Below are 13,891 nucleotides of genomic sequence, written 5' to 3'. Positions count from 1 at the left end.
AGATAAGGAATTTATTCATGATCATTGGTGCTATCTGGCTTGCTCGTCCTCCTCAACTTCCAGTACTGTTGAATCGTTGTGTATAATTTGACCAACATTAAATCTTTCATTTTTGACACGGAGTCTCGCTCTGTCGCCCAGGCTGGAGTGCAGTGGCATGATCTCAGCTCACTGCAAGCTCCGCCTCCCAGGTTCATGCCATTCTCCTGCCTCAGTCTCCCAGGTAGCTGGGACTACAGGCACCCCCCAACCATGCCCGGCTAATTTTTTGTATTTTTAGTGGAGACGGGGTTTCACCGTGTTAGCCAGGATGGTCTTGATCTCCTGACCTTGTGATCCGCCCGCCTTGGCCTCCCAAAGTGCTGGGATTACAGGCACAACATTAAATCTTTTTAAATGATACGTGTCTCTTTGGTTAGTTTTCACACAGTTATAGGTCATAAACCATTTTTACCTTACCTTTCTCACTTAACATGTACTATAAGCATTTTCTATAATATTTTACTTCTATCTCTTTAGCAACTGAGCCCTAAAGCCCGTCCATGTGTCTAGACTGGTCTGTTGCTCCTTCACTTTTTAAAAGATAGAAAAATATAGTTACTACTAGTTGAAACTGCATCCTGAATTTGACTTTCCAAAAGTTGACGCATTCCATCATGAAGTGGCCTGGTCTTTCCCCAGCAGCAGCAATCCAACAAACTAGCAGCTGACTATGCCCAAGTAGAAAACCCCATACTCTAGAAGGGGCTACATCACATCCCCCTGGCAAGTTGCTCTCTTCACCCAGTGAATTTACACTATTTTCAGGCATTGACAGCTATCTGTCCAGAACTTGCAGCATAAAGGGTACATGGGCACTGTACTTGTCTTTAACTCTACAGAGGCTTTGATAAATGGGTGAACAATTAAACAACTGATTTCAGTATAAAAACTGTCACCTCTTTGCCCTGCTTCTTAAGGAAGGTGACATGGAAAGGGCTAGTTTGCCTCCTAAAAAAGGGCATGAGTCTTTGGGGAAAAACTCACGTAACTCTATTTAGAAGCAGTTTAAATTGCTAAGTCAACCAACACAAATATTGATGAAGCACCTGTAAGTATGAAATATTATACTAGGCAGTGCAGGAGATACCAGGAACATGAGAAATGCTTTCTGACCTTCATATTTAAATAAAGTGACACAGGTTTAGTAGCTAGTGCTGTGGCTGGCACGTAGTAGCCAGTCAACAAATGCTAGTTTCTCTCTTGTCTTCCTTTCCTCATCCTTTCCCTTAAGGATTTTACAACTTAGTTGCAGGAAAAGGCCATAAACATGAAAACTGTTAAATACTACCATGAAATTTAAATAACCATATGAGGAATTTCACATGTTAATTACCTAATACCACCACCTGAAGTTTATTAAGTGCTTCACATTACTTTCTAACAAGTAATGAACCCAGATAACAATGTTTCTTTAAAAGGAAACGGTTAAAGGCTACTGTCTGCTTTGTTTTTTCTTTATTTTGTTTTGATTTTTCCTTCCTCTTAGTATCAGAATGTTGACTCTATGAATTAGGCCATATCCATATCATTATTATACTATATGTGACACTATTTGTGCATCTTTTTTTCTCATTTTTATACTTTAAGTTCTGGGATACATGTACAGAACGTGCAGGTTTGTTACCTAGGTATACAAGTACCATGGTGGTTTGCTGCACCCATCAACCCGTAATCTACATTAGGAATTTCTCCTAATGCTATCCCTCCCCCAACCTCCTACCCCCAGACAGGCCCCAGTGTGTGATGTTCCCCTCTCTGTGTCCATGTTTTCTCATTGTTCAACTCCCACTTATGAGTGAGACCACATGGTGTTTGGTTTTCTGTTCTTGTGTTAGTTTGCTGAGAAATTCAGTTCAAAAAATCTCTCTACAAACTCCATGAAGTTAGATACTATATCTGGCATATTCGTTTTGGTATTCTTAAAGCTAATAAAGTGTCTGGTATACAGTATATGTACAATCAATATGTGATGACTGTATAAATTAATGAAATCCACAAGTGAAAGGAAAAATTGTACATTTTACTCTACGTAGTGATAAATAGGGATCAATAAGGGATGCCTAGTAAATAATCAGTCTTTATTACCTCCTCATTAAAGATATAATGATAATCCCTAATGAGTGTTATCACAGTTAATTTGCTTTTTTCTTCCTAGTTGCATGTGGCAGAATTCCTCTTCTTGATTCAAAATCTTATTATTCCTCTTACTCTGCCGGGGATTCAAATATCAATCTATCAATTTGTTTATTCTCCAAACTTCTACTCAACAGACTCCAGAAGTTTTTGATATGCCATTCTAGGGTTCTAATCTCATGCCCTGTATCCGGGTTTTCTCTGAAAGAATATATATTCTGGTTTTGTGACTGTGGTAAGGAGCCCTTAACCTCTTTTGGTGGAATAAGTCCCTTCTGGTTTAGAGTGTAGACTGATAATGGTTTTCCCATTTGGACATCCTTGGGACAACAATCATTACTGGTCACTCTTTTGAATTTAGTGTCCTATGGTGGACACTTTCTCACGCGAACTCACCATAATGAGTCACAGTGAAGGAGACCTAGGGGTTAAACTGTGTGATTAAATACACTATGAAAAACGATCAGGAACTAGAATTCAAGTCTTCGGATTTGCAGTTCAATTTTTATTTCACCATGATGCATTACTGCTCTTTGAGGGATGTAGTCAATAAACATTATAGATCTAGAGGAGAGGAAGATCCTTTTGAGCTGAATTATATAGAACGTTTTGAAGCATATGGGTCTTAGAAATGGGTCTTGAAGTTTAAGGCCTAAATTGGAAATGGCTCGTCAATAAACACTTTTTTTTCACTGCACTCCTGAGACTCTTACATAAAGGTTTGGGGTTTTTTAAGTATATGCAGGAAAAAAAAAATCAACAAATGGGGACAGGTGTTTTTCAGTTTACATGTCTTTGGAATTCTGTCTCATTTCTATTTGGCATTTTAATTCGTTAACATATTGCCCCATGACAGAGAATACTAGAAGCGCCCCAGGCTGGCTGGACCACAGCCATTGCCAGGCCGGCTGGCAGCTAACCTAGCACCAGCAAAAATTCATCAGCATCACCTTCCTTCCTGTCCTTACCAACAACAAGTCTCTGCTTATCCCTACTAAAAATGGTGACACAGTGAAACTGAGGGGCAGCAGGAGAAGCTTGCCTGTACTTCAGTTTAACTGAAGAAAGAAGATGACACTTCACAACACCAGAGAAATCAATCCACCACCTCCAAGAGCCTTGCCAAGTTCTGTAACTTTCCTAACCCTTTCTCCCTCCACTATTTCCACTCCTCATTTGTCCCCAATCCAAATCTAATCCCAAAATTTCACAGCATTAGGTAGATATGAGGAAAGATAAAACAAATCATAAGCTTACCCTAAGGCCACCAAATTCTGAAACTCTCCCCTTTCCCATTATTTGCTTCAGAATCATTATATCAATTGTACAAAATCTTGAACCATGCTCTTTCCAGAATCCTCATTACATCTAGCAGTAATTTTAAAGCAAAGGTCAAGATAAAACACAGGCACTATGTTGAAAAGAAAAAGCTCAAAAACCCCAGGGATATTTATCAATAAAACCAGATGTTGACAGCTTTATAATACATAAATGGAGTGGTTCCATGAGGGAAATAATTTTTATGGGATCATAAAGCCCTAGTCCACTATGAAAAACATTTGATGGCCAGGCACGGTGGTGGCTCACATCTGTAATCCCAGCACTTTTGGGAGACTGAGGCTGGTGGATCACTTCAGTCTAGGAGTTCTAGACCAGCCTGGGCAACATAGTGAGACCCCGTCTTGACAAAAAATTAGCCGGGCATGGTGGCACATGCCTGTAGTTCCAGCTACTCAGGAGGCTAAGGTGGGAGGTTGGCTTGAGCCCAAGAGGGGAGAAGGGAGGTTACAGTGAGCCAAGACTGCACCACTGCACTCCAGCCTGGGCAACACAGTGAAATCCTGTCTCAAAAAAAAAAAAAAAAATTGTAGATTAACATTTAAATATGTGGCTCAAACGGCTATTTTCTCTTTGGTCCTGAAAATGTTTATTCCCTCTGCTTTAATTATCTAAATTCCCTTTTCCCACCAGAAAAGATATGTTCTTCTTAGGGGGAAAACAAAGAAAGAAATATCTAAGTTACAAGCAAATACTGAATTTCTCTGCTTCCTCTGTGAGAGTTGGTGGCTTCTTATGTTACGCTTTTGCCAAAATAACAAGCATATTGCATCTGCAGCTATACAGTCTCTTCCTGTCTCTCTGGGATTGAAATTCTACACATTGCTGAATATTTCTTTAATTTTTTCCAAGTGTTAGAAGAGTGATTTGTAGGCCAGAAGAAAGGTTCTGTTTAACACCTGTGTTTTCATTGGAAAAGATCATTTCTTTACAAGTGTCTGGTATACTCAGCTTTATATATCAATGATATTAGAAAATTACAAATCTGCAATGTTTGTAAAAGTTGCTTTCTAAATTCTATTGTGTCCATTACCTACATAGACAGTTTTCCAATGTTTTTGACTGCAAAGTCCAGAAATAGATACCTTTTATTGTGACACAGGACAAATACACATACCCACAAGTGCACACAAATGCAAATAAGCATGCACACATACACATAGGAAAACATTCACGTGAAACTTACACAGAAGTTTCATGAACAATATTTACCCAGTTTCTAAAGCAAAACTTGCCAGCCAAACAGGATGACTTACAGCAGTGTAAGTTGTCATATACATCTGTTAATATACTACCTCTGCTAAGATCCCCTTCCTTACTGTTTTCTCCTAGTTAAATCCCCTGAATGTGTGTCCACGCTATTCTTTTCTGCCACGCTGTGCCTAGAACAGTGGTACCCATGTATTAGCTTGTAATTATTGACTGAGTTCCTTGAAAACCGTGACTCTGGATTATATACCTTGACATCCTTAATAATCAGAATATTCTATGGCACGTAATAGATGCTCAATAAGTACCTGTGCACAACCCATTTATTAAAATTTCCAGTATTAACAAAAATCAGTAAAGTTGATGATCAATGAAAAGTTACAAGCTATGAAAGAATCATAATACCTTATAAAATCTAGTTCATGCAGAGATTAGTAACTGTGACCCTCTGAGATGGTCCATCCTGGTTGAAATGAGTCAGGTTACTGCTGCTGTTCCCACTTTTGCATGCTCACATAATGCCAGCAGCTACTGATAATTATAGATACAGATAATGTGTTTAAATAATCAGAAACATTTGCATGAATATAGTATATTTCAAATATCACCAGAAGACAGTGAATCTCACAGCCACTTCTAACTAGAAATTACTCTAAAGCTTTTCTTTGCTGCAACTTTTTTTAAGCAAAGAACCACGGTTTATCTGCTTTATTTATTTATTTGGTTGGTTTGTTGTTTATTTATTTATTTATTTTGGCCTTCATGGTAATTGAGCTTCCACTGAGGAAGAAGAAGAGAGAAGATTGAAGAGGTGGACCGGCTGCACATTTCATCATGAAGATTTATCCGGAGGTAACAAAACAGACATTTGTTAATTTCCCTCCTGAGTGGGTTTTTGGAGGCTTTCCAATCCTCAAACAAAGAGAGCCTCATTAGCTAATTCCAGAGAAAACAACTGCTTCAAAGCCACAGCCTGGAGTTCAAGCTCCTTCTACTTTGGAACTCGTGGAGCCCCTCCATCAGCCTGGCATGATTAACCCACAAGAACTTGACAGCGTGCATCCTTGCACATACATACTGATCCATCATTTCAGGTAACAAAAGGCCATTTGTCTCCTGCTTTTTATTATAGCTGACAAGGCATGACAGTCTTGGCATACGCAGGGTGTTGTACCAGTGATGGCCATCAAAACTGCAGTATCGGCCAGGCGCAGTGGTTCATGCCTATAATCCCAGCACTTTGGGAGGCCGAGGTAGGCAGATCACCTGAGGTCAGGAGTTCAAGAGCAGCCGGGCCAACATGGTGAAACCCTGTCTCTACTAAAAATACAAAAAAATTAGCTGGGCGTGGTGGCGCACACCTGTAGTCCCAGCTACTCGGGAGGCTGAGGCAGGAGAATTGCTTGAACCTGGGAGGCGGAGGTTGCAGTGAGCTGACATCATGCCACTGCATTCCAGCCTGGGTGACAGAGCAAGACTCTGTCTCAAAAAAGAAAAAAAAGTGCAGTATCTTGACAGCATCTGCAAAGACTCCAGGGCCCAGTAGAGCAAAATATGCCCAAGGCAGAATCCCATCCACACCCTAAGACTCCTTCTCCCAGATCACTTAGTAGTATGCGGGAAGTCATCTGAGAAAAAAATAATTTTATTAAAATTTCTGATGAAAATAGTGTGTGATCATAGAACTCAACCTGACATAGGCCCAGGTACTGCTGTGAAGTTGGAGGCCCTGGACAATTATCAAGGCTGACGTCAAGGTGACACACAGACAGCAGTGGCCTGAAGCCCTCCTGACATGCATATGTGTAGGTCATTCCTGCTAACATGGCTTATTAATGACACTTCAGAAAAATGCTGAGCCATGATCATGAACACGAGGAAAGATTGATGGTGTAGCTTCATGCTAACTATAAATTGAATGGTGTTTTTATTTTTTACTTATTATTTTTAAAATTTTTTTGAGATGGAGTCTCACTCTGTCGCCCAGGCTAGAGTGTAGTGGCTTGATCTCGGCTCACTGCAGCCTCCACCTCCTGGGTTCAAGCGATTCTCCTGCCTCAGCCTCTTGAGTAGCTGGGATTACATGTACCCACCACCATGCCCAGCTAATTTTTATATTTTTAGTGGAGACAGATTTTCACCATGTTGGCCAGGCTGGTCTCAAACTCCTGACCTCAAGTGATCCGCCCGCCTCAGCCTCCCAAAGTGCTGGGATTATAGGCATGAGCCGCCACACCCAACCCTGAATGATGTTTTTAAAGAATAAAATGAAGAAAGAGCTTCTGCTCTGAGATATAACAACAATGGTAGCTTTTTATCTTCTTATACAAAATGGCATTTGGTCAGCTGGTTAAATTATGGTCTGATTTTAAACCTCACTTCCATTTTATTGGGGAGGTTGTGTGTGAATTAACTTTGGAGAGTATGAGTAAAGTAGAAGGATTAAAAAAAAAAAAAGTCCGGGAGCAGTGGCTCATGCCTGTAATCCTACCGCTTTTGGAGGCCAAGGCGGGTGGATCACCTGAGGTCAGGAGTTCAAGACCAGCCTGGCCAACATGGTGAAACCTCGTCCCTACTAAAAATACAAAAATTAGCTGGGCATGGTGGCAGGCGCCTGTAGCCCCAGCTACTCGGGAGGCTAAGGCATGAGAATTGCTTGAACCCAGGAGGCAGAGTTTGTAGTGAGCTGAGATCACACCACTGCACTCCAGCCTCGGTGACAGAGTGAAACTCCATCTCAAACAAACAAACAAAGAAACAAAAAACAAAGAAAAACCCCAATTAGAAAATAGGATTGTTCTGGCAGGGCGCGGTGGCTCACACTTGTAATCCCAGCACCTTGGGAGGCCGAGGCGGGCAGATCATGAAGTCAGGAGTTTAAGACCAGCCTGGCCAACACAGTGAAACCCCGTCTCTACTAAAAATACAAAAAAAAATTTATCTGGGCGTGGTGGTGGGGACCTGTAATTCCAGCCACTCGGGAGGCTGAGGCAGGAGAATCGCTTGAACCTGGGAGGTGGAGTTTGCAGTGAGCCAACAGCATGCCACTGCATTCCAGCCTGGGTGACAGAGCTGGACTCTGTCTCAAATAATAAGAAGATTGTTCTAAGAATTTTTCATATTTATTTATATTCCCACTCTTCCATTCCTCTGCAGCATACTTGTATGAAAAGAATCTCATGGAGCATAGTAAACTCTGATAATTCATTTTCCTTTGGTTGTACCAAGTTTTCATTAACTGAAGAAATTTTCAACTAATTATCAAACTGGGATTTTTTTTTTCAAACATTTATTGACTACCTTTTCTGTGCAAGGTACTAGTTAAACCAAAAGAGGACAAAGACTTGGGTCCTAAACTCCCCCACAAAAGGAAAAAAATATGAAAAAAAATGACAAGAACAAGCTCCGATTAGAATAAGTGCAATGAGACATGCATAAACTAGGTATTAAAGAATGCAGGAAAAGGAATAAATATTTTGCTTCCTAGGATAAAGAACATGTGCAGAAGGCATTAGACAATCCATGGTAGGACAGAAACCTGTTGAGGTAGAAGGAACGACATAGATAAAGGCACAGAGGTCTATAAGGCCAGAAGATATGCAGGGACAGGGCAATAAGACACATGTAATTCCAGCTTGGGGTGCAGGAGGCGATGAAGTAGATGAGGCTTGAAAGATGTATTAGCTACCAAATACCACAGTAAAGAGATTGTGTGGGCACGTACTTGCTTTGTCCCTTTCCCTCTGGCCAATGGAATGGAGTAACCTGACAGTCTTTTAACGAAACAAAGCTGTCATTTTGTTTTAAAGAAAATAACTCCAGGGAACTTGTGAATAATAAATTGGAAAGGAGGCAGTTCAGAGGCAAGAGTAACAGTTCAGAAGTTACTGTAAAAGTTCCTGTAAGAAATGGAAGAGCTGAAAGAGAACTGGATTCCAGATGGCATTTAAGTCAGGTGTGGCTACTGGTTGATCAGTTGAGAGGTGAGAGATGAGTCAAGATTTGCCTTCAGAGGCTCCCAGGCTCCACACAGGGGAGGTGAGCAGCCCACGGAATAAAGTTGAGTGAGCACATTTGAGCCACGATCAAATGCCATTAGGTAATTCCAGCACAGACACTTGGCAGGTAGTTGGAAATATGGTTACAAGTTAGATTTGGAAATCATTCCAGAATTATAAATAATTGTTGATGCCAAAAAGATAAGATTATCTATGGAAAAGTGTGTTTTAAAGAAAGCGATAGGAAAAAAAAAAAAGCTCCTCTCTAATTTTCAAATATCTTCTAGTTCTAGGAGGAACTGGTTAGATCTTTTGTTAAGTATGTGTTTAAACAATGTCAGTTTTGTCTTTTGCTAATTTCAGCTTGATAAATTCCCATCTCACTGAAACTGTAGACAGGTGACTGTGAAACTCCCCCAAGAACTGGCCAAACCCCTCCAGCACATTCCATCCCACTACTGGGGTGCTATCAGGAGGGAGGTTGGAACAGGTAGAAATAACTGAAGAGATGGGAAAGGTTCTTTAAAGAAAGTAAGATGAAGAAACACTGTGCACTATGGCAAAACTTGTAGCCGAGAAGAAAGAGTAGGGTGAGCACTTTTTAATTCAAAAGTAACTGAGATGGAAAGAAACAATAAGCACTGTCAATGAACTCAGGAGCAACTCTCTTGGAGCTATAAAACAGCTTTATAGCCTGCACAATCTTGTTAGGAGACAGCTCATTATGGCATAATTTCATATATACAACACATAATAACCACATGGTTGCTATGAAATTGTTAGCCTAGAACTGGGCTATTAATCCTGTTTGCATGACACAGGGCTTGTGAAGAGAATCAACTGTGCTTATCTTTCTCCTTTATATGCAGAGGCAGGGTTCTTGCAGTAGGTATGTAATATCTTACAGGTATGTTGTATTTAGCCTGATCAGTGTTTTAAATCAAAGAAAATTTAATACAGGTAATGAATTCAGACTTTTTATAAAAGTCTCGACTTCTGGATTGTCTTTCAAAAGAAGATAAATTCATAATATTGGTCCATTGCTCCTGTGCTGTGATGACTGGCAGCAGCTGAGCAGTGGCTGCCCTCTTCGGTCTGGGTTCTCCTGGGTGCCATAGTCTCTAGCACTCTCTTCTGTCTCTTAGACAGAGAGGCCAAGAATTAGTGTCAGTCTTGCCTGAGCTATCACTTTCCTGATCTTCGGCACATTGACTCATTTATTTTATATGGCCCATGTAGTCATATGAGTTGTAACCTGTGCTTTAATGTTATGAACTGAAAGTGACTTCTAAGGTTACTTCAGAATGAAGACCGTGGCGATATGATGTCTAGATCTGCTCCAAGCAAGGGCACTGGCCGTGTAGTCTGCTGCAGAAAACAGCATATACTCTAGAGAATGAGGGGTCAGCATGAAGATTATAGCAAGGGGGGCTTGTTCAGGCACAGAGATAAAGGAACGTAGTACCTTGGCAATAAAGAGGGAGGAAGTTCAAATGAAAGTGAGGTAAGCTCAGGCTATTTGCTCAAAATGACAAGGAGCATGAAGGATATATTTGTCAGGTAGGATTACAGTACAGGATAGAAAGAGTAGTTTTGTCTTTCTCATATAGATAGCTTGGAGATTCTTGGACTCCCATCAGAAACAAGGCAACAGGCTGGGCACGGTGGCTCCTGCCTGTAATCCCAGCACTTTGGGAAGCCTAGGTAGGCAGATCACGAGGCCAGGAGATGGAGACCATTCTGGCCAACATGGTGAAACCCCGTCTCTACTAAAAATACAAAAATTAGTTGGGCGTGGTGGCGTGTACCTGTGATCTCAGCTTTCAGGAGGCTGAGGCAGGAGAATCGCTTGAACCACGGAGTCGGAGGTTGCAGTGAGCCAAGATTGCGCCACTGCACTCCAGCGTGGTGACAGAGTGAGACTCCATCTCAAAAAAAAAAAAAAAAAAAAAAGGCAACAAAGAAAAAAACAAGAATCTAATCCCTGATGAAGAAGATTGTTAAGAACACAGATAGAAATAGACCCCAATCCCATTCATTGGACTTCCTTCCTTCCTTCCCTTTCTTCCTTCCTTTCATACCATCCCTTCCCTTCCCTTGTCTTCCTTCCTTTTTCTTTCTGCATTTTCTTCCTTTCTGTCACTACCAGATTCTCCGGGCTCATCTTGTCTATTCCCTGCTCTGTGCTAGAATTAGCCATTTTTCCAAGGATGCCTTGTCCCTTTCATTAGAGAATGGCATTAGAAGCAAAGACCTGGGTGCTAGTACCCCTGGTATTTCGCGTTGCCAGGGGACTTGGGAATCTCTAGCTCACTCTCTCCCCACTCTTCTGGCATTCTCCTCCATAAATGAATTTGGAGAGTCTCTCTTACAGCCCCACTGATCTAACGCTGTTGGTCTCACATCTCTCCCCTGCTGAATCACCTTATGCTACTTCCTTTCTATTGCCTCTTAACCAGGACAGTGTCCCTGCAGATTCTAGTATTTGACCTTAATATCTTATTTTGAGGTTTTATCTTCCTTTGAAGTTTAACATTGTTACTTGTGCTGTGATACTTTCTCCTTCAGGCCCTGACCTTGAACCTTGTGCATCTGAAGTATACATGTGGGCTTTAGGGATGAAAAACACTTTCTTCCATTCAGAGACTATTCAGAGGACCTAAATAAATTTGACTGGCCATTGGAAACTCTCTAAGGAGCTCAGAGTTTAAAAATATATAAAAGCTAGAATAAGGCTCACAAAAACAGGAAAGAACATAAAAGCGTGCATACTCCTATAAGTAGACATAGCAGCATGGCATCATGGTAAAAGACCATGAACCCTGGAGCCAGATGCCTGCATTGAAACTTCAAACCTCAGCTCCTCCACCTTTTAGTCCAATGTATTTGCTCAAGCCCTTTAACTTCTAAGTTCAGTTTCCAAATCACCAAAATAGAGAAATTAGTAATAGCCACCTCAGTAATTATTTATTTTTATTTACTTATTTATTTAATTTTTTGAGACAGATTCTCACTCTGTTGCCTAGGCTGGAGTGCAGTGATGCAATCTCAGCTCACTGCAACCTCCGCCTCCTGGGTTCAAGAGATTCCCCTGCCTCAGCCTTCTGGACAGCTGGGATTACAGGCGTGTACCACCACACCCGGCTAATTTTTGTATTTTTGGTAGAGACAGGGTTTCGCCATGTTGGCCAGGCCGGTCTTGAACTCCTGACCTCAGGTGATCTGCCCGCCTCAGCCTCCCAAAGTGCTGGGATTACAGGCATGAGCCACTGTGCCTGGCCCACCTCAGTAATTATTGTTAGAGTCAACCAAGTAAATATACATAAAGTGGTCAGAACAGTGCTTGGAACAGAGAAAGCTCTAAATAAATATTCATTATTGTTGTTATTATTGTTATTGTTGAAATAGATGGTATCAGGTAAATTGAGACTGGGATCAACTCAGTCTTGCATACAAGGCCAATAATAATTCATGAAGGAAGGTTTTGTTTTGTTTTGTTTTAGGTTGGGGTGTAACATTTATGATCTGTCTGGAGAAGAACAGAGAAGGTTTAGGACTATTACTTAAGAGAGAAGGTGTGATGCAACAGAGAAAGTAGAACAAGGTAGTTTTAATTTTTTTCCTTACAAGAGAAATAATCTCCACTCTAGAAGAATCACAACACAGATGCTTATCAGGGAGATAAGTTCCAGATAGAAGAGGAGAGAATACAAGAGCAATTAGAATCTTCAAATGAGTTCAAGGATTAGAACCAAATGAATGTCATCCTGAGATATAAAGGGGACCTGTAGTTATGATTGTGGCTCCATTGTTAGGAGTCTTTAAATAAATTATGGAAATACAGTCAGAAATTGGAGGTTGGGAAATGATGGCCCAGTTTTCAAAAGGGAGCTCGGTACTGAATAGATGTCAAAAAACATTTGAAAAGTTATCATAGGAGAGAAAGTTATAATTTATATGTTGATTTTAAAAGTGCAGAGTTAAGCTTGAGTGCAATGTAGAAGAAGACAGACAGCAGTTAACTAAAAGAATTTTTTGAGAATTGGAGCTATTCATACATGAGAGTCTGCACTGCTTCCCATCCCAGGGCCACCTCTTCTAACCCATGTCTGAGCTGTTTATCAGGGAAGCAGCATTTGATAATCTGGTCAAATTTGAAGCCATTCATTTGAACACCTTTTACTACTAGATGGAGTCACTGTACCTTCAAAAGCACCAAGAGATGTGTTCTGTCTCTTCCAGATTCCACATGATGTCAATCTTTCCTCTGCTTCTCCCCAAACCCACAACCCACTGGACAGACCCAGTCTTGCTGGTGCTAAGAAATAGATTTTGAGGGAAGTAGAAGAGATTCTGCTTAGGCTTCTAGCCAAAGTATAGACTGTTTCATAATCTCTGCTTTGTGGATAGCGGAGCTTCCACAGCTATTAGTAACATGGCCCTTTGACATCCTTTCTGCATATTACCAGCTCCCTCAGGATCCCTGATGAGCAGAGTAAGATGCTGGAATTCCCAGCTTCTTGCATAAAATACGAGAAAATGGAGCCAAAATGTCACTTCAACCTCTGGTAGAAGACTGGGTGATTAGAGCACAAAACAGGTTATCTTCTGTCAGGAATGTTCAGGGGAAAATTCCTGCCTTGGACAGGAAATGAGACTAAGATGTTCTTTGTAGCAAACTGATAACCATGACCTGACTTTTTGAAGATGATATTGCACATAATGATCACATCTCGGCCCCCAGACTGGATTTCTATCCCAAATCCTCTGCACCAACGATACTATACTGCAAAGACGATAGTGAGTTCATCTATCCTTGCAATATCTCTTTATCTATTCAAAGCACCTATTTCTAAAATCTCACATTACCCTTTATTCCTCTTCCTCTAATCACTACATAATGATTTAAAAATTATCTTCCATGCTTTACTTTCTTGTTTGAGTATTCAAATTTTAAAAGAATTATTTAATGTTTACACTGGGGTTGGAATGGGTAGAGAAGTGTTGGATAAAGAACCTTCCAACGGGCATCTTGGAATGCTTAACCCTTCACGTTAGAGTACATTTTAGCATTTGTCTTTATGCCTTGAGGTTAATCTGCCTGGTTTAATTTTTTCCTCTGCCTATATATTTTATATTCAAAGAAGACTGACTGCAAACACCATGTCTGG

General features: G+C 40.7%; 1 protein-coding gene and 1 long non-coding RNA gene across 58 annotated transcripts in view; one reads left to right on the top strand and one right to left on the bottom strand.

Annotated features, from left to right (window-relative positions):
• Window positions 1-13,891, bottom strand: part of NRXN3 (neurexin 3) — a 1,697,919-nt gene that overhangs the window by 256,578 nt on the left and 1,427,450 nt on the right. The gene's annotated exons all lie outside the window — the stretch shown is intronic.
• NRXN3-AS3 (NRXN3 antisense RNA 3) overlaps window positions 1-13,891 on the top strand; it is a 35,483-nt gene that overhangs the window by 21,490 nt on the left and 102 nt on the right. The window contains exons 4-5 of one of the 2 annotated variants that reach the window (XR_007064281.1): window positions 5,497-5,574; window positions 12,224-12,420. This is a non-coding gene — a long non-coding RNA (NRXN3 antisense RNA 3). Of the gene's footprint in view, window positions 1-5,496; window positions 5,575-12,223; window positions 12,421-13,891 lie in introns of those variants that run through there. The other variant, XR_001751001.3, reaches the window with a different exon arrangement.

This window comes from Homo sapiens, chromosome 14, assembly GCF_000001405.40.
Source record: "Homo sapiens chromosome 14, GRCh38.p14 Primary Assembly".
NCBI classification, from domain to species: Eukaryota; Metazoa; Chordata; class Mammalia; order Primates; family Hominidae; genus Homo; species Homo sapiens.
This window is presented reverse-complemented; position numbering and strand designations above follow the sequence as displayed.